This window comes from Homo sapiens, chromosome 14 (assembly GCF_000001405.40).
Source record: "Homo sapiens chromosome 14, GRCh38.p14 Primary Assembly".
In the NCBI taxonomy this organism is placed as follows: Eukaryota; Metazoa; Chordata; class Mammalia; order Primates; family Hominidae; genus Homo; species Homo sapiens.
In genome coordinates, this window is record NC_000014.9 from 67,250,634 (window position 1) to 67,276,642 (window position 26,009).

Sequence of the window (26,009 nt, forward strand, 5' to 3'; positions counted from 1 at the left end):
AGTCATGAACCCCAGATACAGGTCTCTGATCCAGGTGATTCATCGACTGTATAAATGACCTGCAAATGTTTTTCACAATAATGATTTGCATAAGGGTAATCAGTACATACTTAGAGTTAACGAAAATAAATTTCATAGTTTTTGTAGGCATCCTAAAGGAATCTTATCCTTCTGTTTTTTATACCTTATCCTTTTATACTTAAAATTTATAGCAAGATTGATAGTTCATTTGACCAAATCACAATACTTTCTGCTTTCCCCTCTTATCCAGAATTGTATCCCTCGCTGTGTCTCTTAATGTGTTATGCTGTATGCTGTATCCTTTGTATGTATTTCTTAAATATTAACAACTACATTTCAAGTTCTTTGTCAGCATTCTTCTTTTTACAAATGAGGAAATTGAGGCTCAGAGAGATTAAATATTTTTTCCATAGTCCTATTATAAGTGATAGAAAGGAGTTGAATTAATTTTATTTGATCCCAAAGCCCTTGGCTTTTCTGCTTTGTCTGTAATATAGCCTGCCTTAAGACTTATTTTAACATTGTCTTTTTGGTAAGATTAGAAACTTTTTGATGAAAGCCATTTTCCACTTTACCTAGTGTTTAAAAATGTACGTGAGGCTGGCGCAGTGGCTCATGCCTGAAATCCCAGTATTTTGGAGGCCGAGGCAGGAGGACCGCTTGAGCCCAGGAGTTTGAGACCAACCTGGGCAACACAGTGGGACCCTGTCTCTACAAAAAATACGAAAATTAGCTGGACTTGGTGGTGTGTGCCTGTGGTCCCAGCTACTCAGGAGGCTAAAGTGAGAGGATTTCTTGAGTGTGGGAGGTTGAGGCTGCAGTGAACCATGATGGCACCATTGCACTTCAGCCTGGTCAACAGCAACAGAACGAGAACCTGTCTCAAAAAAAAAGTAGTTGAATTAAAGTGAAGAACTTTGAGCCTGTAAATTGTAAATAAGCTCCTTAAGGGTAGGATAGTGGGTTGTATCTTTTTGTCTTAGTATGTCAGCCCTTAATATGGCTGTGATACAATAAGAAATATATATTTGGTCTTTGTCCCTGACAGCTGACCTAGAGCTTCTAAATCCCTTGGAATTTTCTTAAGCATAGAGAGTCTTTTGTTTGAATGAGGGTGATAAGAGCATCTTTTGTTTCAGTGAGTCAACTCTTGGCAGGCCCCTATAATAGCTTCAGGTTAGGGGCTGGTTGCCAGAAAGACCAAGGCATGGGGCCCCACCTTCAACCTCTGGGAAGGCAAAGAGGGGCTAGAGATAGCCAGTCACCAATGGCCAGTAATTTAATCATGCCCATCTAATGAAACTCCTAAATGACAGTGTTTGGAGAGATTCTGGGTTGGCGAATATTTCAAGGTGCTGGGAGGCTGGTTTGACTGGAGAAGGCATGGAAGCTCCACACCACCCGCCTAAACCTTGCTCTTTGCATCTCTTCCATTTGGCTATTCCTGAGTTGTATCCCTTATAATAAACCAGTAATAGTAAGTAAAGTGCCTTTCTGAGTTCTGGGGCCATTCAAGCAAATTATTTTTATTTATTTATTTTTTGTTTTTCTTAGAATCAAGGTCTTGCTCTGTCACCCAGGCTGGAGTGCAGTGGCATGATCATAGCTCACTGCAGCCTTCAACTCCTGGGCTCAAATAGGCGTGCACCACCATACCTAGCTAATTTTATTTTTATTTTTTGTAGAGATGAGGTCTTGCTGAGCTGCCCAGGCTGGTCTTAAACTCCTGGTCTCCAGCAGTCCTCCAGCCTTGGCCTCCCAAAGTGCTGGTATTACAGGAGTGAGCCACCGTGCTCAGCATTTAGCAAACTATTGAACCTGAGGAGTGGTCATGGGAACCCCTGATGAATAGCTGGGTGGTGTGAAGTACAGGAGGCCCAAAACTTGTGGCTGGCATCTGAAGTCTGGGGCAGTCTTTTGGGACTGAGCCATTAGCTTGTGGGATCTGATTGTAACTCCAGGTAGATAGTGTCAGAATGAAATTGAATTGTAGGACACCCAGTCGGTGTCCAGAGAATTGGTGTGAGGAAAAGACCCACACATTTGATGTCATCAGTGTTGAGAATGAAAAAAAGCTCGGAATGGCACATAGTAGATGCTTGGTTTCAATTTGTACTTTTATCATTTATTTGTTTAAACTTTAGCCTTGCTGTGAGCTAAATATTAGAGACTGTTCTGTTCTAGTCATCTCCCATAAACAGATAATTTGACATTTGAAACACAATTTCATTTATTCTAGGTTGGCCATAAATGTGTTTACTGGGAGGAAATCTAACACTTTCACATGTTCTTGATTAGCTTTTTCTACAAAGACATAACCATAAATGTATTAATTTGCTGATGACTTTTTCTTGTTTTTCCATAGGCACATACTGACAGGCTTTACAGTGCAGTTACAGTACTATCACTGACTTACAGTACTTTTACAGATTATAGAGTCAGATGTCTGCAGAAATACTCTCTTGACTTGTGTGTGACAATGAACAGGTTAACTTATCAAAGCCTGATTCCTTATCTGCAGAATGGGGATGCTTAATTCAGTAGGTTTTATTTTGAGGATTGAGATGGTACATCAAGAATGGTAGGCATGGTGTTAGTATATACATATTAAGCACTCTTTCAATGTTAGATAAGAGATAGGAGTTGTGTGACTTGGTTGTTATAGTCTGAGGTAATGATGAATAATTATAATTGTATGTTGAGGTCAGCTTTCTAATCTCTGAAATAATAGTGAAAGTCAAATGAGAGAAAACAATTTGTTGTCCTAAACAGTTTACTTATATAGTGAGATTAAGTTCTGTTCAGCTTTATCAGCTTCTCTATTTGACTCAAGAATTACTCTGGGGTGTTTTTCAGTAGGTTGTTTTCACTACACATTTTTAAATAGACTTTAAAAATGACGTAGTTAGGCCAGGCGCAGCAGCTTATGCCTGTAATCCCAGCACTTTGGGAGACTGAGGCAAGAGGACTGCTTGAGCCCAGGAGTTCCAGACCCGCCTAGACAACATAGTGGGACCCTGTACCTACAAAAAATACAAAAAAATTAGCTGGGTTTGCATTCCTGTAGTCCCAGCTACTTGGGAGGCTCAGGTGGGAGGATTACCTAAGCCCAGAAAGTCAAGGCTGTGGTGAGCCATGTTTGTGCTGCTGCTCTTCAGTCTGGGCAACAGTGAGACCCTGTCTCAAAAAGAAAAAAAAAAAAAGACATCATTTCCAGAGTTCAGTTTCATTATGGTGATTCAAAATCTTAGGCTTGGATAGAGCATTTGTTTACTGATATCAGTGTGTTTGTGTTAATATTTTGTTTTGTTTTTTTTTTTCCATTTTGAGTAATGGATGTCTTTCATGTCTTTTTTGGGCCTTATATTCATCCCCCCCCCCTTACAAGTTTTCTTAGGATGCTCTTCTTCTACAAGTAACTCCTGTGACATTTTCTACAGTTCTAGTGTGGCATTTACCAAATAGCACTGTATTGGTTTTTTATTTGTTTACTTATCTGATATCTATACTAGATTTTAAGTGTCTTTCTTTTTTTTTTTTTTTTTTTAGATTTTAAGTTTCTTAAGGATACGGACTCTGCCTCAGCAGCCTTTTTCTTGACAATGACTATCCAAGTTTTTGGTACCAAGTGGGTACTCGCCTTGTTGAATGAAAAGGTAGTTTTAGCTTAACCCTTTTTCCTATTAGATTTGCAGTATAGTTATCTTATAGATTGACCTTTTATTCTTATTTCTTGTTTATAAGAATATCCTCATATGCTTTCCTCCCCTGTAAGACTGTCTTGTCAAAATCAGAGCATTACTCATACCCTCAGTCAGCAGTACTACCATAATAAAAGTTAATTGTACTCTAAACCTGTTGACATTTGTATTCTCATTAGCCTTCCTTTCTTATCAGATTTTTCTTTTTTCCTTTTCTACTGATACAGTCGTACTTGTCCTGAAATACTCTCTACTGTCACTGCTTCAGTTTAATTTATAGATAGCACCAGATATGAGTCCTTATTAGTTCTGATAACTCTGAAATGGTTATTTGGTATTTCTTCAGTGACAAGCAAACTATCCCCCCACCTGCCTTTAATGGCCAGTGTTTTTGATTTGCATACCAATAAGCGATCTAGGTAGAGGTAATCATCTACTAATTTGCTAACCTTTGGAACATAATTTTTTCTCTAGTAAGCTGTAAATCACTTGAAGTTAGAAGTTGGAATCTCTGGCCGGGCGCAGTGGCTCACACCTGTAATCCCAGCACTTTGGGAGGCCAAGGCGGGCAGATCACGAGGTCAAGAGATTGAGACCATCCTAGCCAACATGGTGAAACCTCTTCTCTACTAAAAATACAAAAATTAGCTGGGTGTGGTGGCGCACGCCTGTAGTCCCAGCTACTCAGGAGGCTGAGGCAGGAGAATCGCTTGAACCTGGGAGGCGGAGGTTGCAGTGAGCCAGGATTGTGCCACTGCACTCCAGCCTGGCAACAGAGCGAGACTCCATCTCTCAAAAAAAAAAAAAGTTCGAATCTCTTATAATGCTTTTTTAGAAGCCTGACACTTCAGACACGTTTTTCAGGGAAGGTAATTGATTAAAGGGAATGAAGAAAATCTGCATGGAGTACATTGAGAGCAAAGCAATAGCCATGTGAGTTTGGTAATTAGGATTCTTTGAGTTTGTCATTGTGAGTTATTTACGTGATGAAAGAATAAATGTAATCAGAATCATGAACCTGACATATTTGAAAGTGTTAGAGGTCTTTTTTGGAATTTTTCATATAATTAATGCTTTTATTCCTTTGGTAAACTGCTTTCTTACATTTTAAAATTAAAAATGTAATATATATGATTTATTTGTGTGGTTGAGGAATTCCTAAATACTAAAGAGCCATGACCCTAATGATTGCATAAGTGATTTATTTAGAAATTCTTATTTTATTGTTGCACTGCTTATGAAATTGCTTAGGGCTTGAGAGATAACACTTCGATTACTTTTCTTAATTTAAAGGTTCCAGAACGCTTGAAAGAGTTTTGTTCCTGCTATTTTGTTTTGTTTTTGAGATGGAGTCTCGCTCTGTTGCCCAGGCTGTAGTGCAGTAGTGCAATCTGGGCTCACTGCAACCTCTGCCCCTACCCACCGGGGTTCAAACAATTCTTCTGCCTCAGCCTCCCTAGTAGCTGGGATTGCAGGCACCTGCCACTATGCCTGGCTAATTTTGTATTTTTAGTAGAGACGGGGTTTCACCATGTTGGCCAGGCTGGTCTGGAACTCCTGACCTCAAGTGATCCACATGCTTTGGCCTCCCAAAGTGCTGGGATTACAGACAGTTGTGAGCCTCTGTGCTCAACCAACTGACTTTAATAAGTAATTGTAATTTAAAGTTTCAATATTTGTTTGTTTTCAGAAAAGTAATATCTTTGTGTTTTTTCCTCAAATTATAAAAGCAACACATACTTTTTTTGTGTGAATATTTTGTAAGATATCCAAATAGTATAGAAGTGGAAAGTAGGGAATATTTGGTCTATTATCCTCATTTTTCAGAGATATTAGTTGAAAACAATATTGTATATATTCTTCTGAATATTTTGTTAATAACTTTATAAACATCTTCTATGTATATTTGTAAAAATGGGATGGTAGATAAACACTGTTCTGAAGCTTGCCTTTTTCACTTGCGTTTGTTTCATGTCAGTTCATAAAGAGCTTCATGCTCTAGTAGTCACAATAAAAAGTAGAAAGATCAGACTAGTCTGGGTATTATATATTTTAAAAAAACAAGTGAAAAGAAACCATGAAATTAATTTTAACAGTGTATTTTATTTAATACAATAAAGGTATATCAAAATTATTACCATTTCAACTTGTAGTAAATATAAATAAATGAGATACTTTATATCCTTTTTTCTTTTTTCTTTTTGTTTTTTGAGATGGAGTCTCGCTCTGTTGCCCAGGCTGGAGTGCAGTGGTGTGATCTTGGCTCATTGCAACCTTAGCCTCCCAGATTCAAGTGATTCTCGTGCCTCAGCCTCCCAAGTAGCTGGGATTACAGGCATGTGCCACCACACCTGACTAATTTTTGTATTTTAGTAGAGACAGGGCAGAAAGAAAAAAATCTAATAGAGTAAGTAGGAGGACGAAGTGTTCCAGAAACTATTGACACACACACACACACACACACACACATGAAACTGATAGGTTACCTGATTTGTTTGAATGTATACATTAAAAAAATATTGATTCTTTTTACCAAAGAATGTGGGTATTGTGAACCCAAAATATCTGACAGGTCTCATTTTGCCAAGGCTAAGGACGCGGCTGTGACACAGCCTCAGGAGGTCCTGACGACAGGTGCCCAAGGTGATCGGGGTACAGCTTTTTTTAAATACGTTTTAGGGAGACATGAGACATCAATATGTACGTTGGTTTGATCCGGTAAGACGGAACAACTTGAGGCGGGGGCTTTCAGTTGATAAGAGTTAGCGGGGATCATAAGTAGGTAAGAGACAAATGGTTGCATTCTTTCGAGTCCTTGATCAGTCTTTCACTGAATACACGGTTTAGTCTGGCCCAGTGAATCTGCATTTTTACATAAACCATAGGGCAGAGGAAGCAATCAGATATGCATTTGTCTCAGGTGAACCTCAGAGGGGTGACTGAGTTCTGTCTGTCCTTTATCCACAAGGAATTTCCTTGTGGGCAAATGGTGAGGGAGGTATGTAGCTTTTTATCCTTGTAGCTATCTTATTTAGGAAAAAACCAGGAGACAGGTTTGTCTGACATAGTTCCCAGCTTGACTTTTCCTTGGCTTAGTGGTTTTGGGGTCCTGATACTTACTTTGCTTTCACAGGATGTATTAGTGATTTAAATAAAAAGTGAGACACAACTTGTGGAGAGAGGGAATGTACTATGAGAGACAGCTAAATATTCATCTTCATAATAAATGCTCAACAGATAACTAAAAAAAAAAGAAATGGCATGTATGTATACATAGAACATACACACGTATTTTATATATGTATATATGTATGTATATATAACATACAGCCTATTTTTATACATGTCACTAGAAATATGAAGGTAAGTTTAAGAAGAAACTGAGAGTTAAAAGTGTTCTCTATGCAGAACTCAGGTAGAGGAGGTGAGACACTGAATTGTTCTTCATAGTAGGTTTAATGGAACTGTTTGCTTTTTTTAAAAAATACACACATAATTTTGTGTTACACAACTATACGTACAACACATATGCAACACAAAAGTTGTATATTAGGGGCCCCTTATATGGAGTGTGTAAAAACATTGCTGTCACCAAGGTAGTGAATATTTGCATCATTTAACTACTTCATTCGATTGTCATTGAATAATTTGGGAAAAATCTCTCTCCTCTTGAGTTATTAAATGTTTGGCAATAGGTAGGTGTGGTTTTTCTCTTCCTGTCTTATCTAGTATTTAAATATTCAAATTTAATGCAGCACGTATTGAGTTTCTAATATGAGCATACATAGATAGCAGTGTGCAGGGTTCTCAGAGCCACTACCAGTAGATGGGAAGTCTATAGAATATTTGCAGTCTAGTTGAGAAGATAAGGTACTCATCCATAAAAATTTGATAATAGGCCAGGCACCGTGGCTCACTCCTGTAATTCTAGCACTTTGGGATCCCAAGGCAGGTGGATCGCATGAGCTCAGGAGTTCGAGACTAGTCTGGGCAATGTGGCGAAACCCCGTCTCTACCACAAATACAAAAACTTAGCCGGCTGTAGTGGTGGGTGCCTGTAGTCCCAGCTACTTGGGGGATTGAGGCAGGAGGATTGCAACTGTTGTCCAGGCTGGAGGGTCGTGGTGTGATCACAGCTTACTGCAGCCTTGACCTCCCCAGGCTTAGGTGATCCTCTTGCCTCAGCTTCCCAAGTAGCTGGGACTATAGGCACACGCCACCACAACTGCCTATATTTTGTACTTTATGTAGAAATGAGGTTTCACTATCTTGCCCAGGCCGGTCTTGAACTCCTGGACTCAAGTGATCCACCTGCCTCGGCCTCCCAAAGTGCTGGGATTACAGGCATGAGCCACTATGCCCAGCCTTCAGACTGCCTTGATACTGTTAACTCCTTAATAACAAAGTAATAGTTCTTAATAAGTTATTTTGTTATGCATTATTTGCTTTAATCATTCTTTTCTTTTTTTAAGGAAATATGTTCGGATGATTTTAACCTTCTTTTGAGATGGAGTCTCTCTCTGTTTCCCAGGCTAGAGTGCAGTGGTGTGATCTCTGCTCACTGCAGCCTCCCACCTCCCGGGTTCAAGTGATTTTCCTGCCTCACCCTCCCGAGTAGCTGGGACTACAGGCGCGTGCCACCATGCCTGGCTAATTTTTGTATTTTTAGTAGAGACAGGCTTTCACTATGTTGGTCAGGCTGGTCTCGAACTCGTGGCCTCAAGTGATCCGCCTGCCTCGGCTTCCCAAAGTGCTGGGATTACAGATGTGAGCCACTGCACCAGGCCGATTTTAACTTTTAACATTGTCATAAATGGTACCCTGAATGTTCTATGTATGTATATATAACATATACACATGCCCGATTTCTATACATGTATACCCTGTTTCTGTTTGCTATATTTTAATTTTTACTTTAGCCCAAAGTGAATGAAAGTAAAAAATAATGGACTACTTTTAAGTGAGTAAGGCCAGGCTGGGGGCGGTGGCTCACACCTGTAATCCCAGCACTTTGGGAGGCCAAGGCAGGCGGATCACTTGAGGTTAGGACTTTGAGACCAGCCTGGCCAACACGGTGAAACCCCGTCTCTACTAAAAATATAAAAAATCAGCCGGGTGTAGTGTTGGGCGCCTGTAATCCCAGTTACTCAGGAGGCTGAGGCAGGAGAATTGCGTGAACTCAGGAGGCAGAGGTTGCAGTGAGCCAAGATTGAGCCACTGCACTTCAGTTTGGGCAACAGAGCAAGACTGTCTCTAAATAAATACATGAATGCTTGCATGCATGCTGGCTTATGCCTGTAATCCCAGCGCCCTGAGAGGCTGAGGCAGGAGGATCCCTTTGCCCAGGAATTTAAGACCAGCCTGGGCAACATAGGAAGACTCCATCTATACAAAAAATAAAATAAAATTAGCCAGGCATGGTGCCATGCGCCTGTAGTCCCAGCTACTTGGGAGGCTGAAGCAGGAGGATTGCTTGAGCCCAGGAGTTTGAGGCTGCAGTGAGCTATGATTGTGCTCCATCTAAGAAAAAAAAAAAAAAAAAGAATATATGTATTTCGTAAATGTATTTGTCTTAAGTTTCTTCTACTTTAACTTTCTGTTTATTATTTCTTCATTCTACCAGAATTTATAGTTTTTCCAGTCTTGGAAACATTGTCCCCAGGAGAGAGATTTAAACAGAAACTATTACTCTTCCTCATTTATTTAAAGGAAAATATTAGTTTAATAGAAGAATGACCAGAACTTATGCATCTCTCTAATAAGTGATACTCTGTTCTTAGAATAAATTTTAGGTTTAAGCGCCAGCTCTCCATCTTCCAGCAATCCATATTGATTTAACTGTATTCGTAAAATTATGAATGAGGACATTCCTCTACGGCCATACCACCCTGACTGTGCCTGATCTTGTCTGATCTTGGAAGCTAAGCAGGGTCAGGCCTGGTTAGTACTTGGATGGGAGGACATTCGTGGTAAGAAGGCACAACCCTCCTCTCTCTCATTAAGTGGTTCTTTGGTCAAAAAGATTAAAAAGATTTTCATTCAAAAAATATTTGTATATAGCACAATATATTTTATATGTTACGAACTCATCAAATATGAGTTAACAAACTTTGCCTCGGGGGCTTGCAATTAATAGACATTCTGATTTCAAGGTAGACAATAAATGCTACAGCAAAGGCGTAGATTAAGTACTCTAGAAGGGTAGTTTGTAGAGGAGAGAGAGGGCAGGCAAAATTAAGATTTCATAGGATACTTGATGGAAGAGGAAAATCTTAACAGATAAAAAGTTGAAGAGAGGATTTTTTCTTGGTATAAGAAACAATATGTCAAAAGTTTAATGACAAAATATAAGCAGTATGTCAAAGTTTAATGACTAAATATAAGCAGTACACAAAATAAGTGCTATAAGAGTTGACTATTAAATTAATAAACTTCCTTTGGGAATGTGGACACTTCCCAAAGGAGGTGGGAAATTGCAGGGCTCATATGGGAAACAGCAAGTAGTTTGATTCAGAAGACAGGGGAGGGAGAAAGAAAATGGAAAAAGTATTCTAGGACTAAGTCAAGTGGAGCCATATGAATGTCAGGCTAAGGTGTTCTGCAGAATAGTTGTTAAAATGCCCTGGAGTCAAGCAGACTCCAGGCCCTAGCTGTGCCATTTAGCTTTTGACATTGGACAAGTATTTATTTTGTTAAGATACAAAATTGAACAAGGAGACTGCTGTGAGGATTAAATGAGATAATGTATGTCAGGTGCTTAGCATAGTGAATGAATGGTACATAGTAAATTCTCAGGAAACAATAGCTTAAAGAAAAGACAATAAAAACTTGAAAAGGGACACTGTTGTGGTGGTAGGAGTGCTTCGGAAAGTTAATCTGGCAATACTGTGTAAAATGATTGGCAATTAGAAAAGACAGGTTGGAGAGAAACTCATAGAAAAGTTAAGATGCTCATAGAAAAACCCATGCAAGAGATAATGTATATTATGATTTAAGGTAGTGGCATGAGAAGGGAGAAGCTAAGAGTGTATGTGAGATACAGAGGTAGAATTGATGGGAGTTGGTATAGTTATAAGTATGTTTAGGGATATTACAGTTACGATTTTGAAAATACTTCAGTTTTACCCCAGGAGGATAGCTAATTTGTATAACAGGAGTCTATTATATTTTTAGGATATTCATTTTTAAGCTATAAATATTATTAAAAACAGTTTGTCAAGTTATGACATGTGGCTCACTTTGCCAGCACATACTGAAATTAGAGCAATGCAGAATAGAGAATAAAATTTTTTATATTGTTGTAGGAAACTGGAATGTTGGTAGCCTAGTATCACTTTACATATGTAGTAGGAAAATTCACACACATATCTACCATTTCTCTACTTGATTGCCTTCGCTGCTTGGTAAACTGAGTTTTTTTTAGGTACTTTGAGCAATAGATATCTTGTTACCACAATCAGGTACTAAAATAAACTTGTAGTCTGTTAGCATATGTAACAGTGAAATTAATGATTGTGTTAAAATTTATTTTATGAAGCAGTCAATTGAAGGGAAAAGATAAATTTTCTCTGATCATATTTTAAAGGCAAAAAAAGGATGGGATTTTGAAGGAAGCATGTAGTCAGCATGGTATCTTACAGACATGTAACTAACACAGCACTGTGGATGCACATTAGGATTTACCCATCTGAATTTTAGTTAATGTTCTATTGCTTCTAGCTATGTGACTTAACTTTCAGTGCCTACATATGTGGAAAACAGATATCTGACCTGTCTACCTTTCAGGGCAATTGTAGAGATCAAATGAGATAATATACTTGGAATCAGCTGTAAAAATAAAAATATTTTACAAATGTAAGATATAAGTATGTAAATTACTTATAAATTTGCCCTTCTAGCCTATCCCTTTTGTGTCCTGTCTAGCAGTTAACCTGCTAAAACTCCCAGTATAAATGCAATAATTAAAAAATAGAATGTATCTTCTCTTTTCCAATTCTTATCCCTATCCCCGCCTCGAATCCAGAGACCTTATTCTATGCATTTTCCTATTTTAAGGTTCCATAATTCTCCCAGACTCAGTTGACATACTCAGTATTTTAAAACTCTGTTTGGCTCCTGGTCTCCAAATCCTGTGAAATCATTCTTTATAATAACCATTGTTTGAAGTGATCACTTTTCATTCCTTCTGCTACTTCCCTTTATCCTGCCATGTGTAAAGGAATAAAACATTGTCTTTATTGGCCACTCCACTTACATTTTACCCTAGTCAACTCTGGTTACAGTATAGAGTAGATTTAGCTTTCAGAAAATCTGTTTTGTTGTTCTTTTCTAACTCAGAAACCTTTAGTCTCCCATTATTTGCAGGAGAAAATTCAAACAATTTAGTGTAGCATTCAGAGTCAACTCTGTCTTTATCTTCTATCTCTTACGGTGGCTCTGTTTGTTAACTAGACTGGTCTTATTCTCCAACTAGGCCATATATATTCTTCATTATTAGCCATATACAGCAAAGCCATATTGCAGGTAATTTTAAACCACATGTTTAAAAACCCATTTCTAGCCAGTTTGAAAATGTTATAAATTACCTTTTATCCTAGTGCCTTTAAAAAAAACTTTGCTAGCCTTTTAGATACATTTAATCTTTTATTGCTAAGGAGTTGAAGGTGATAATAGAGCAGTTCAAGTAACCAACCATTTGATATCCTTGATACTCTTTAGCTTCTAACCAGTTTCTGCCATGAGCGTGTGGTCTTGAATATTTCCAAAGGCCTTCAATTTTGTGTTTATTAGGAGCAAATAGGGAATTTTCTGTTGATGAAAAATGAAACACTTTTTACTTCAGGAAATGTTATGTGTAATATATAGGGACCCTAATTTGTCTAATTGAAAAGAATCATGATGCTCTCTTGTCCTCCTCCCACCCCTTTATATTGCAGGGTAAACAGGGATATTCAGATTTGTAAAGGAAAATGGTGAAGTATGCAGTCCCCTTGTGCCCTGGGAGTACTTAAGGTCAGAGCTCAACTTTAGGGATAAAAAAACAAGAAGAGACTATTAGGTATTTGAATATGCAAATGTACTTCATAGAATTTCATTGTTTAAAAGAGAATCTCTATGAACAAGTGAAGGAAATCTTAGGAAGGTACCCTTCGAAACACTGAACTAAGAATTAATCTTTAAAGATTTTCCCTCTCTTCTCTTAGTATAGGATAAGACTAAAGAAAAATAATGGCAACAGTTAAATGCTTCTGTTCTGATGTCATACAGACTTGGTGTGTGTTTTGGCTCTACCACTTAGATTTCTGACCTCGAAAAACAACTTAACCTCTCCCTACTTGTTTTTCTCATTTGTAAACTGATGATAACTTTGAGGAGTTGGAAGGATTAAGTGAGAAGATATATAGGAAACTGTTGGCACTGTGCCTAGCAAGTAGTGTTGCTGCTTTTACTTCTACTGTGACCTCCTCCATCACTGCTTACTCAACCATTTAAATAATTGTTCTGCTCTTGTCCTCTGTAAAATAGGGGTAGTAATTCTTTCTATTTTTTTAGAGGTGGGGTCTCACTGTATTGCCCCAGGCTGGTGTATGCTATTCACAGGCATGATGATAGCCCCACTATAGCCGTGAACTCCTGGGCTTAAGTGATCCTCCCACCTCAGGCTCCCATGCAAGCACCTGGGACTACAGGTGCATGCCATGGCACTCGGCAATAATTTCTTTAAATGAACATATAAGGTTGGTGTAAGGATTAGATGATGTCGTGGACATGCAACCATATGTACAAGAGTACCCGTTAAAATTGTAGAATGTTTATTTTAAAGTGTTTGTTAGGCCAAATACTGTTTTTTAAAACCTGTCTCCTCGTTTGTCATTGGGGATGACAGTGGTATTTAAATTTGTAGAATTGTTTAAAGATTAAGTATATTTAACATATGTAGCACAGTGTTGAGTACATAGTGAGAATCAGTAAATATTAATAGTATTAGCTATGATCACTAAGTAGGTTTTGGCTATTTGATGTAATCTCATTCGTCTGTTTTTGCCTTTGTTGCCTGTGCTTTTGGGGTCAAATTAAAAAAAATCATTGGCCAGACCCATGTTGTGTTATTTTTTCATGTGTTTTCTTGTAGCAGTTTTGCACTTTCTGATCTCACGTTTAAGTTTTTGAATCCATTTTGAGTTGATTTTTGTACCGTAAATGGTATGAGTAAAGGTCCATTTTCATTGTTCTGCATGTAGATATCCAGTGTGGAAATAAATTTTTTAATAAAATTTGTAAATGAATATTTTAGGATCTAGATGGTTAGTAAATTGTAAATGCAACAGTGTTTTTTTCGAGCTCTTTTGTCCACATTACCTTGTTTTAATTTTTATCCCAAAGCCATTGTATGGCCTAGAATCATGGGGTGAGAATAGGAACTTGTAAACTAAATCTTTCAGTTACAGATGTGTTATATATATGCTTTTTGCCAGAAATGCAAAAGCTGTTAAGTCTCAAGTTTACATCTGAGAAAGATGTATCTTCTAAGCTAATGATACTGCCTTATTGATATCCAACAGAATTGTCAGGAATCATATTTTTTTTTTCCATCCATGAGGGCAGATGATTTATGTGGGTTTAAGTTATAATACATGTTACTCTTTATTCTCCTTTGAAATCTTACTGGGTTTTTACTTTGAAGATTTTTTAAATTGGGATTTTGCTTCCATTCCTTACAAATTTTGTCTGGTATAGTATATTCTAAATACAGTTTGTTTTTAAGCTATGAAAATAGCAGTTGTTTCTTTGGAATGTAATTATCTGGATGACAAATGAAGGTACTTTGATCAGAAGCCTAAACCATGAACTATATGGAATTTTAGAAATGCCTTTTATTATAGGACTTGTTAGGGTGTTCTACTAAACAGTAAACCCAGAGCCTGGGCATGGTGACTCATGCCTGTAATCTCAGAGATTCGGGAGGCTGAGGTGGGAGGACTCTTGAGGCAAGGAGTTGAAGACCAGACTGGGCAACATACTGAGACTCTGTCTCTAAGAAAATAAACAAAAAGTAGCTGGATGGTGGCGTGTGCCTGTAGTCCCAGCTACACAGGAGGCTGAGGTGGGAGGGTTGCATGAGCCAGGAGTTTGAGGCTACAGTGAGCTGTGATTATGCCATTGCACTCCAGCCTGGGCAACAGAGCGAGACCCTATCTCTATTTAAAAGAAAAATAAAAAAGCCAGCGCAGTGGCTCACGCCTGTAATCCCAGCATTTTGGGAGGCAAAGGTAGGTGGATCACCTGAGGTCAGAAGTTCAAGACCAGCCTAGCCAACATGGTAAAACCCTGTCTCTACTAAAAATACAAAAATTAACCAGTTGCAGTGACACGCCCCTGTAATCCCAGCTGCTCTGGAGGCTGAGGCATGAGAATCACTTGAACCCGGGAGGTGGCAGTTGTGGTGAGCCAAAATCGCGCCACTGCACTCCAGCCTGGGTGACAGAGTGAGACTCCATCTCAAAAAAAAAAAAAAAGGAAAAAAGAAAACAAAGTAAACCCAGGACATTTGCACTTGGTCTTGTAATTTAAAGGACTGTATCTGTCCATTAAAAAACTTTTAAAAAAAATCTGTAAAAGTATTATTTATTTTTTGTAGAGACAAGGTCTCACTGTGTTGCCAAGGCTGTCTCAAACTCCTGGTCTCAGTGATACTCCTGTCTCTGCTTCCCAAAGTGTTGGGATTACAAATGTAAGCCACCATCCCTGGTGTAAAAACTTCTTTTATATTGTGCCCATTGAGTTAAACGAGTTCAGTTTACTTTGAATATATGTTTAAAATTAAAGAAATATATATTTATTTAAAAGTCTTTTTAGTTCTGTAATGTAAGAACTCGTTTTTTAGTTAGATCATGGGGACTTTATTTTTGTTTAGGTTGTGCCTTTTTTACTGAATAATAATTTCAGAGCTAATCCACTGCATGAGTAATTCAAATATTTCAATTTTTTTTTGAGGAGTCTCACTCTGTTGCCCAGTCTGAAGTGCAGTGGCGTGATCTCAGCTCACTGCAGCCTCTGCCTCCTGGGTTCAAGGAATTCTCATGCCTCAGCCTGCCGAGTAGCTGGGATTACAGGTGTCTGCCACCATGCCTGGCTAATTTTTGTATTTTTAGTAGAGACAGGGTTTCACCATGTTGGCCAGGCTGGTCTCAAACTGCTGACCTCAAGTGATCCACATGCCTCGGCCTCCCAAAGTGTTGGGATTACAGGCATGAGCCACCTCGCCCAGCTGAAATATTTCAGTTTTTACTTGTATTTATTTAGTTTTGGACATAGCTAAGTTTCTTCTGCAAAGATAGGTCATTCATTGTTGGAAACTTAAATTCATACAAGAAGTTACACAGTTATCAAGTAAATAGAGTCTTTTATGTGATGTCAGTATACGACTTGTTTTTGGAATATACAGTTATCTTTTAAAAAAACTTCGTTTCTTGGCTGGGCACAGTGGCTCATGCCTGTAATCCCAGCATGTTGGGAGGCCGAGGTGGACAGATCACTTGAGCCTAGGAGTTCGACACCAGCCTGGGCAACACAGTGAAACCCTATCTCTACTAAAAATACAAAATTAGCCAGGCGTGGTGGCCCATTCCTGTACCCACCTACTCAGGAGGCTGAAGCGGGAAGATCACTTGAGCCTGGGGAGGCAGAGGTTCCAGTGAGCCAAGATTGTGCCACTGCACTCCAGCCTGTCTCACAGAGCAAGACCCTGTCTCAAACAAACAAATAAATAAATAAATATAAATTTGGTTTCTTTGAGATATAATTTACATGCAACAAGATGTCATTTTAAGTGTATAATTTGAGGTTTTGTTTTCTTTTAAAATCAGCTGAATAGGTATAACTTCAATTAAAATTCATTATTTATTTATTTATTTTTTAATGAGACGGAATTTCACTCTTGTCGCCCAGGCTGGAGTGCAATGGTGCAATCTTGGCTCACTGCAACCTCTGCCTCCCAGGTTCAAGTGATTCTCCTGCCTCCCCCTCCCAAGTAGCTGGGATTACAGGCATGCACCACCACACCTGGCTAATTTTTAGTAGAGATGGGGGTTCATCATGTTGGCCAGGCTGGTCTTGACCTGCTGATCTCGGGTGATTCACCCACCTTGGCCTCCCAAAGTGCTGGGATTATAGGCATGAGCCACTGCACCCAGCAAAATTCAGTAATTTTAAGTGTTCAATTTAATGAATTTTCAAAACGGGTTTATTGAGGTATAATTTATATTTTATAAGATTTAGGTTTTATGGGAACAGTTTAAGTTTTAGTAAATTTATATAGTCATGCAGACTGTCACTGAAATCTAATATTAGGACACTTTTATCACATGAAAACATTTCCTCCTTGCCTTTTTCAGTCAGAATCTGTTTCCATCTCCAGGAAACCACCAAACTGCTTTTTGTAATAGCACTAGTTTTGCATTTTCTAGAAATTTTGCACAAATGGAATCATACTCGTGTCTGGCATTGTGTTTTTGAGACTGTGTTGTTGGATATGTCAGTAGTTTGTCCTTTCTTATTGCATTTTTTGTTTATCCATTTTATTCCATTTTATCCATTGTATTCTATTTTTTATTTATTCATTCCCAGCTGAAGGATAGTGTGTGGTTTTAGACTATTATTAATATTGCTCCTATGCATACTCATTACAAATCTTTCTTTGTGATTTTTACAGATAAAAACATGTTTATTTCTTTCTCTTGTGTGGAATGTCTCAGTCATATGGAAACTGTATGTTTAACTTTTTAAGAAACTGCCAGACTCTACCATTTTACATTCTCATCAGCATTATATAGAGGTTCCCCTTCCTTCACATTCTCTCCAGTGCTTAATATTGTCACTTTTTAATTTTAGCCATTTTCTTGTTTGTAGTGTTATTTCATTGTGTATTTTTTAAACAGCATTGTTGAGATAGAACTCTCATACGATCGAATTCATCTGTTACCCGAAGGGGGTCCCGATCCAGATCCCAGAGAGGGTTCTTGGATCTTGCATGAGAAAGAATTTGGGGCAAGTCCATAGAGTAAAATGAAAGCAAGTTTATGACAGTAAAGGAATGAAAGAATGGCTACTCCATAGGCAGAACACCGACATGTTACTTCTTGATTATATTCTAAGCAAGGGGTGGATTCATGAATTTTCCGGGGGAAAGGGATGGGCAATTCGCAGAACTGAGGGTTCCTCCCCTTTTTAGACCATATAGGGTGACTTCCTAACGTTGCCATGGCATTTGTAAACTGTCACGGCACTGGCAGGAGCGTCTTTTAGCATGCTAACGCATTATAATTAGCATATAGTGAGCAGTGAGCACAACCAGAGGTCGGGATTTGCCTCGCTTCTTTACCCCAACCTGTTTTGTCAGCAGGGCCTTTGTGACCTGACTTTGTGCTGACCTCCTATCTCATCCTGTGACTTAGAATGCCTAACCTCCTGGGAATGCAGCCCAGTAGGTCTCAGCCTTATTTTACCCAGCCCCTATTCAAGATGGAGTTGTTCTGGTTCAAACCCCTCTGACACATCCCTTTCAAGTGTGCAAATTCAGTGGATTTTAGTATATTTAGAGTTGTGCAACCATCACCACAATTAATTTGCATCATTCCGCAAGAGAAACCTGCATGCCTTGGCCATAATTCTCCCACCCATTCACCCCCAGTTTTAGGCAACCACTGATCTACTTTTTGTCTCTCTATATTTGCCTCTTCTGGATATTTCATAAATAGAATCATACAGTATGTGGTCGTGGTCCTTTGCTGCTGGCTTCTTTAAATCCTGTTTGTAGGGTTAATCTATGTTGTAGCATGTATCACTACTTCATTTTTATTTTCCAATAATGTTTCATATAGGATTATACAACTTTTAATAAATTCATCAGTTGAACATTTGGATTTTTTCTACTTTTTTTGCTATTACGAATACTGCTGCTATGAATATTTTTGTACAAGTTTTTGTGTGTGTGTGTGTAGATGTATGATTTTATTTCTCTTGATTTATACCTAGGAGTAGAATCGCTGATATGGTAACCCTATGTTTAGCCTTTTGAGGAATTGCCAGACTGTTTCCAATGTGTTATTGGAAAGTTTCCATTTGACATTCCTAACAGCACTAATATACAACAACATAAATTTTTAAATTGATGTCCATTAGATACAGGGGTCATGGTGCATTTTTATGATTTCTGACTAAGAAATCCTAGCTATCTGCAGACAGAATTGGTTATCATATTGAATTAGTCTTTCTCTTCCTCCTTTACCCCCCAAAACACTGCAGACATGTACATTTGATCAATTGTCTCATTTTTCTTTTTTATAGAATAAGAAAGCCTTGAGTTTTGTGAAAAACCGGAGAAGAGAAACTAAAAGGACAGTAGAAAAGGCTTTTCCAGTTTGCATAATGTAAGTTCTTTTCACTTTTCTTGGCTTGAATTCTGCCTTAGCTGACAAAGCTGTTTCTATGGAAACAAATAGTTTAACCTCTTAGAATGTCAGAGGAATGCTGATCACTTAAAATGAGACTTCCCAGCTGCTGGTCAAAGGGCATTACTTGCTGGAGAAAGAGGGGAAGGATGAATTTAAAAAATTCTAGAGTTCTGGACACTAGTGTAGACTGAACATGTTTATGCGTATGAAGTATATCTCTTCTATTTTACTCTGCCTAAAAATTAAGATACTGGTAATATAGGAAATTGGATTTCTGCTGACCTGTCTTGATTCTCAGCTCTTAAACAAATGGTTCTATTCGTTGGTACCCTTTTCAGTGGGTCTGTACCCTTTAGGCTATTTCAGTCCCTCCAGTCTCAATCATTTGCACTTGTTGTGAAGCTTATTTAGCTTCCCATTGCCCCCTTCTCCCGCAACTAAAACCCTTTCTCCCTTACTAGTTTGAGGTTAGCATTGAAACAGCTTCGGCATGCCAGCCTGAAAATTTTTCTTGCTTTGTGGACTATGTAAAGATTTTTGTATTTGTGTTCGTTTTCTGGCAGGGATGGGAGCAGGGATTCTGATGAGGATTTGAAATGTAGTCCTTTGAAGCTTTCTTTCTTTCTTATTTTTTTTTTAAACTTATAATTGGCAAGTTGAGAAGAAAAGAATTAGGGCCAGTAACTGCCTCTGCTGTCTTCATAAGATGGCCTGTTATTTACACACAATGAGGTAATTCTCTAGTTCAGTCATTTACCAGCTTCTGAATTGTCAAAGGACTTTTTTTTTTTTTTTTAAAGAGAGGGAGAGTGCAATTGCTTTGGACTGGGAGGACTTTTTCACTTTTATGATGTATATAGACTACATGTATGGGCTAGAGTATTTGTGGAGTGCCTGCTTAAAAATTATAATCTTAATGCTAAAACTATAGGATACAGTATAATGTTTCTTTAATTCTGGAAGAACTTTAGGATCTTTCATTGCCTTCATTAAATTAACTTGTGAGCATTATAGAGTTTTTGGAGTGTTAAATGGTGAAGTAATTATTTAACAGGATAGTCTGGAAAGATTTCTTGTAGAATTAGGGACTTGAGGGAGGTCTTGAAGGTAGAAATCAATGGAAAAGTAGTTCATCAGTCATTTGGGCAGAAAGATGGGATAGACACAAATGAGGAAGGTAAATTAGAAGGCTCATGCAGGTGCGTAGTAAAAGATATAGCTAGAAATCTTGGATTCATTTTTTGAGTTTGAAGTTTATTCTCCAGGTAGTGTGAAAGCCATCAGAAGTTCTGAACAGAGGAGTGGTTTGCTCATATACTTAATTAAGCAAACACTTAGCAGGTATCACGGCTATAGAGGTCAACAAGACGGATCCCTGCCAATTAGATAATTTACCTGTGTGATCTACAGTTACCTTGAAATTAATGTGTCTAAACCCATATTTCCCTTTACTTCTATCTGATTCTCCTATATTCTCCATCATAATTAGTGACATTGTCATCTACCTAATAAGCCAGGGATAGTGGTTAAGAGTGATGGTTCTGGAGTTATACTGCCTAGGTTCATATTCTGAAGCCTTCTGTTGTTTGGCCTTCTGCTGGGCAATGTTACGGATTCAGAGATGGGTCAGCCTGGTTCCTGACTTCAAGGAGCTTCTAGTCTGATGAGATAGAAAGGCAGAGATATAAATAGCAGTAGTCCAACTTGATCAAGAATGTGACAGGGATTATAGGATTCCAGAGGACAGTGTATTTGAGCTCAGACTTAAAAGAGTAGGCAAAGATCAGATCCTAGGCAGTCTGATTCTGGAGGCTTTTCTCTTAAACATGCTGTCTTGGGTAACTGGATGGATGTAGTGACATTAGTTAGAATTGAAAACAGGGAGAGGATTAAAGAGAATAGGAGATTAAAGGGAAATATGAGTTTAATTTTGGACATATTTCTAGATTCTTGTGGGAAATTCTGATAGATAGAATAATGGTCAGCCGGGCACGGTGGCTCACGCCTGTAATCCCAGCACTTTGGGAGGCCGAGGCTGGTGGATCACGAGGTCAGGAGTTTGAGACCAGCCTGGCCAACATGGTGAAGCCCCGTCTCTACTAAAAATACAAAAATTAGCTGGGTATGGTGATTGGCGCCTGTAATCTCAGCTACTCAGGAGGCTGAGGCAAGAGAATCGTTTGAACCTGGGAGGTGGAGTTTGCAGTGAGCCGGGATCGTGCCATTGCACTCAAACTGGACGACAGAGTCTCAAAAAAAAAAAAAAAGTTCAAGGATCCTGTCTTAATAACCATAGTATCTAGCCAGGGGTAAATAATTAAATTTGTATACAAATCACTCCTCTTTTTTAAATCTTTGATGATTCTCTTATTCTATGGAATTAAGGATTTGTATTTAAGACCTTTCATAGGATGGACCCAATCAAACTTTCTAGTCCTATCTTCCACTACTCTCTCGACTATTTTAGTTCAACGAGCCTTATTTGTACTTTCCCCTCACACCTTTCATCTTCCCACCTTTGGTTCATATGGCCCCTTTATTATTTCTCCATCTTGTCTTTAAGGCCTACTTCCAACCTCGTTTTTCATCTACGAAATGGGCATATTTGGATCTACTTCTGGAGTTGTAATGAGGAATAAATGAGTGAATACTATGTGAACTGCTTGCAGTGTTGGCTGGCACATAAAGAAGTGCTCAGTAAATGTTAGCTATAGTTGTAGTTGTTACTACTACTACCACTATTCCTACTCCTATGACTTCTTTCTCCTCCTCCTCCTTTACCTCTTTCTCTTATTCACTTTTTGCCCTCCTATATGAAGTAGATACTAAGTTCTACTGATTCTGTAACCTACATATTGCTTTTGTTTTTGAGACAGAGTCTCGCGCTGTCTCCCAGGCTGGAGCGCAGTGGCACGATCTTGGCTCACTACAACCTCTGCCTCCTGGGTTCAAGTGATTCTCATGCCTCAGCTTCCCGAGTAGCTGGGACTACAGGCACAAGCCACCATGGCTGGATAATTTTTAAATTTTTTGCATGTTTTTGTAGAGATGGGGTATCACCATATTGCCCAGGCTGGTCTCAAACTACTAGTCTTAAGTGATCCACAGCCTCAGCCTCAGCCTCCCCAAATGCTGGAATTACAGGCGTGAGCCACCACGCCTGGCCTGTAACCTTCGTATTTCTTGAAAACAACTTCTTCATTCTCACTGTCCTAGTTGAGGACCGCATTTCTAATAGGTGCTTTCAGTCTGTTCTCATTGCCACCCTTCAGTCAGCCCTCTATGCTTCAGTAGGAGTGATATTTCTTTCTTTTTTTTTTTTTTTATACTTTAAGTTCTAGGGTACATGTGCACAACGTGCAGGTTTCTTACATATGTATGCATGTGCCATGTTGGTGTGCTGCACCCATTAACTTGTCATTTACATTAGGTATATCTCCTAATGCTATCGCTCCCCCCTCCCACCTCCCCAACCCCACGACAGGCCCCGATGTGTGATGTTCCCCACCCTGTGTCCAAGTGTTCTCATTTTTCAATTCCCACCTATGAGTGAGAACATGCAGTGTTTGGTTTTCTGTCCTTGTGAAAATTTGCTCAGAATGATGGTTTCCAGCTTCATCTTTGTCCCTACAAAGGACATGAACTCATCCTTTTTTATGGCTGCATAGTATTCCATGGTGTATGTGTGCCACATTTTCTTAATCTAGTCTATCATTGATGGACATTTGGGTTGGTTCCAAGTCTTTGCTATTGTGAATAGTGCCGCAGTCAACATATGTGTGCATGTGTCTTTATAGCAGCATGATTTATAATCCTTTGGGTATATACCCAGTAATGGGATGGCTGGGTCAAATGGTATTTCTAGTTCTAGATCTCTGAGGAATTGCCATACTGTCTTCCACAATGGTTGAACTAGTTTACACTCCCAGCAACAGTGTAAAAGTGTTCCTGTTTCTCCACATCCTCTCCGGCACCTGTTGTTTCCGACTTTTTAATGATCGCCATTCTAACTGGTGTGAGATGGTATCTCATTGTGGTTTTGTTTTGCATTTCTTTGATGACCAGTGATAATGAGCATTTTTTCATGTGTCTGTTGGCTGCATGAATGTCTTCTTTTGAGAAGTGTCTGTTCATATTCTTTGCCCACTTTTTGATGGGGTTGTTTGATTTTTTCTTGGAAATTTGTTTAAGTTCTTTGTAGATTCTGGATATTAGCCCTTTGTCAGATGGGTAGACGGTGAAAATTTTCTCCCATTCTGTAGGTTGCCTGTTCACTCTGATGGTAGTTTCTTTTGCTGTGCAGAAGCTCTTTGGTTTAATTAGATCCCATTTGTCAATTTTGGGTTTTGTTGCCATTGCTTTTGGTGTTTTAGTCATGAAGTCCTTGCCCATGCCTATGTCCTGAATGGTATTGCCTAGGTTTTCTTCTAGGGTTTTTCTGGTTTTAGGTCTAACATTTAAGTCTTTAATCCATCTTGAATTAATTTTTGTATAAGGTGTAAGGAAGGGATCCAGTTTCAGCTTTCTACATATGCCTAGCCAGTTTTCCCAGCACCATTTATTAAATAGGGCATCCTTTCCCCATTTTTGTTTTTGTCAGGTTTGTCAAAGATCAGATGATTGTAGATGTGTGGTACTATTTCTGAGGGCTCTGTTCTGTTCCATTGGTCTATATCTCTGTTTTGGTACCAGTAGCATGCTGTTTTGGTTACTGTAACCTTGTAGTATAGTTTGAAGTTGGATAGGGTGATGCCTTCAGCTTTATTCTTTTGGCTTAGGGTTGTCTTGGCAATGCGGGCTCTTTTTTGGTTCCATATGAACTTTAAAGTAGTTTTTTCCAATTCTGTGAAGAAAGTCATTGGTAGCTTGATGGGGATGGCATTGAATCTATAAATTACCTTGGGCAGTATGGCCATTTTCACGATATTGATTCTTCCCATCCATGAGCATGGAATGTTCTTCCATTTGTTTGTGTCCTCTTTTACTTGGTTGACCAGTGGTTTCTAGTTCTCCTTGAAGAGGTCCTTCACATCCCTTGTAAGTTGGATTCCTAGGTATTTTATTCTCTTTGTAGCAATTGTGAATGGGAGTTCACTCATGATTTGGCTCTCTATTTGTCTGTTATTGGTGTATAAGAATGCTTGTGATTTTTGCACATTGATTTTGTATCCTGAGACTTTGCTGAAGTTGCTTATCAGCTTGAGATTTTGGGCTGAGACAGTGGGGTTTTCTAAATAGACAATCATGTCATCTGCAAACAGGGACAATTTGACTTCCTCTTTTCCTAATTGAATACCCTTTATTTCTTTCTCCTGCCCGATTGCCTTGGCCAAAACTTCCAACACTGTGTTGAATAGGAGTGGTGAGAGAGGGCATTCCTGTCTTGTGGCAGTTTTGAAAGAGAATGCTTCCAGTTTTTGCCCATTCAGTATGATATTGGCTGTGGGTTTGTCATAAATAGCTCTTATTATTTTGAGATACATTCCATCAATACCTAGTTTATTGAGAGTTTTTAGCATGAAGGGCTATTGAATTTTGTCAAAGGCCTTTTCTGCATCTATTGAGATAATCATGTGGTTTTTGTCTTTGGTTTTGTTTATATGCTGGATTACGTTTATTGATTTGCGTATGTTGAACCAGCCTTGCATCCCAGGGATGAAGCCCATTTGATTGTGGTGCATAAGCTTTTCGATGTGCTGCTGGATTTGGTTTGCCAGTATTTTATTGAAGATTTTCGCATCGACATTCATCAGGGCTTTTGGTCTAAAATTCTCTTTTTTTTGTTGTGTCTCTGCCCGGCTTTGGTATCAGGATGATGCTGGCCTCATAAAATGAGTTAGGGAGGATTGCCTCTTTTTCTATTGATTGCAATAGTTTCAGAAGGAATGGTACCAGCTCCTCTTTGTACCTCTCGTAGAATTTGGCTGCGAATCCATTTGGTCCTGGACTTTTTTTGGTTGGTAGGCTATTAATTATTGCCTCAATTTCAGAGCTATTATTGGTGTATTCAGGGATTCGACTTCTTCCTGGTTTAGTCTTGGGAGGGTATATGTGTCCAGGAATTTATCCATTTCTTCTAGATTTTCTACTTTATTTGCGTAGAGGTGTTTACAGTGTTCTCTGATGGTAGTTTGTATTTCTGTGGGGTTGGTGGTGATACCCCCTTTATCATTTTTTATTGCATGTATTTGATTCTTCTCTCTTTTCTTCATTAGTCTTGCTAGTAGTCTATCAATTTTGTTGATCTTTTCAAAAAATCAGCTCCTGGATTCATTGATTTTTTGAAGGGTTTTTTGTGTCTCTATCCAATAGGAGTGATATTTGTATAAAAATGAATGTGATCATGTCATCCTCTGCTTAAAATGTTTTAATTATTCTTACTATTTTCAGGGTAAAGATCTAAAACTCTTCTCAGTGTGGCTTCCTGCTTGTCTTTCCAGTTTTATCATTATTCATGTACAGCATGTTCCCATTGTCCCATCCAGCTTTATTGTATTCTATTCTGTTTTCTGAAAGTGCCATTCTGTCATACTCTTCCTTCCTATTGGTCATGTGAGCCTGTCTGCCTGGAATAGACCTTTCTACTATCTGGCTAATTTTTAGTTGCCCTTTGAAATCCATTTCAAAGAAATGTATCCTTATGTTTTGAGTGTTTCCTATCACCTTTTACCACAGACCAAGTTTTATAGTTCATTGTGACATTCCAAGTTGAGTTGAACAGATATTTATTGGACATTTCTTATGATATGTATTAGGCTAAGCACTGGAGCTATAAAAGTAAGACATGACCCCTGTCTCTAACAAATTTAGAACCTGTTAAGGAGATTGAGGAAAA

The 26,009-nt window shown here is 38.6% G+C and overlaps 2 protein-coding genes across 14 annotated transcripts in view, besides 1 other annotated feature; both read left to right on the forward strand.

The window, feature by feature from the left end:
* The window catches only part of GPHN (gephyrin), a 1,227,209-nt gene that overhangs the window by 742,487 nt on the left and 458,713 nt on the right, over window positions 1–26,009 (forward strand). The window lies entirely within an intron of this gene.
* PALS1 (protein associated with LIN7 1, MAGUK p55 family member) overlaps window positions 1–26,009 on the forward strand; it is a 94,627-nt gene that overhangs the window by 9,199 nt on the left and 59,419 nt on the right. For 7 of the 13 annotated variants that reach the window (XM_047431691.1, XM_047431696.1, NM_022474.4 and 4 more), the window contains exon 2: window positions 19,068–19,150. The gene's annotated coding sequence lies outside the window, so the exon portion shown is untranslated. Of the gene's footprint in view, window positions 1–3,570; window positions 3,678–4,196; window positions 4,656–19,067; window positions 19,151–26,009 lie in introns of all 13 variants that reach the window. The other 6 variants (XM_011537086.3, XM_024449691.2, XM_047431690.1 and 3 more) reach the window with 2 other exon arrangements.
* Window positions 5,812–5,980: a silencer, noted in NCBI's record as "fragment chr14:67723162-67723330 (GRCh37/hg19 assembly coordinates)". NCBI's record gives its function as "represses an EF-1alpha promoter that drives an FKBP-Casp9 reporter gene in an ReSE screen in K562 erythroleukemia cells {active_cell/tissue: K562}" and the evidence as "EXISTENCE:reporter gene assay evidence [ECO:0000049][PMID:32094911]".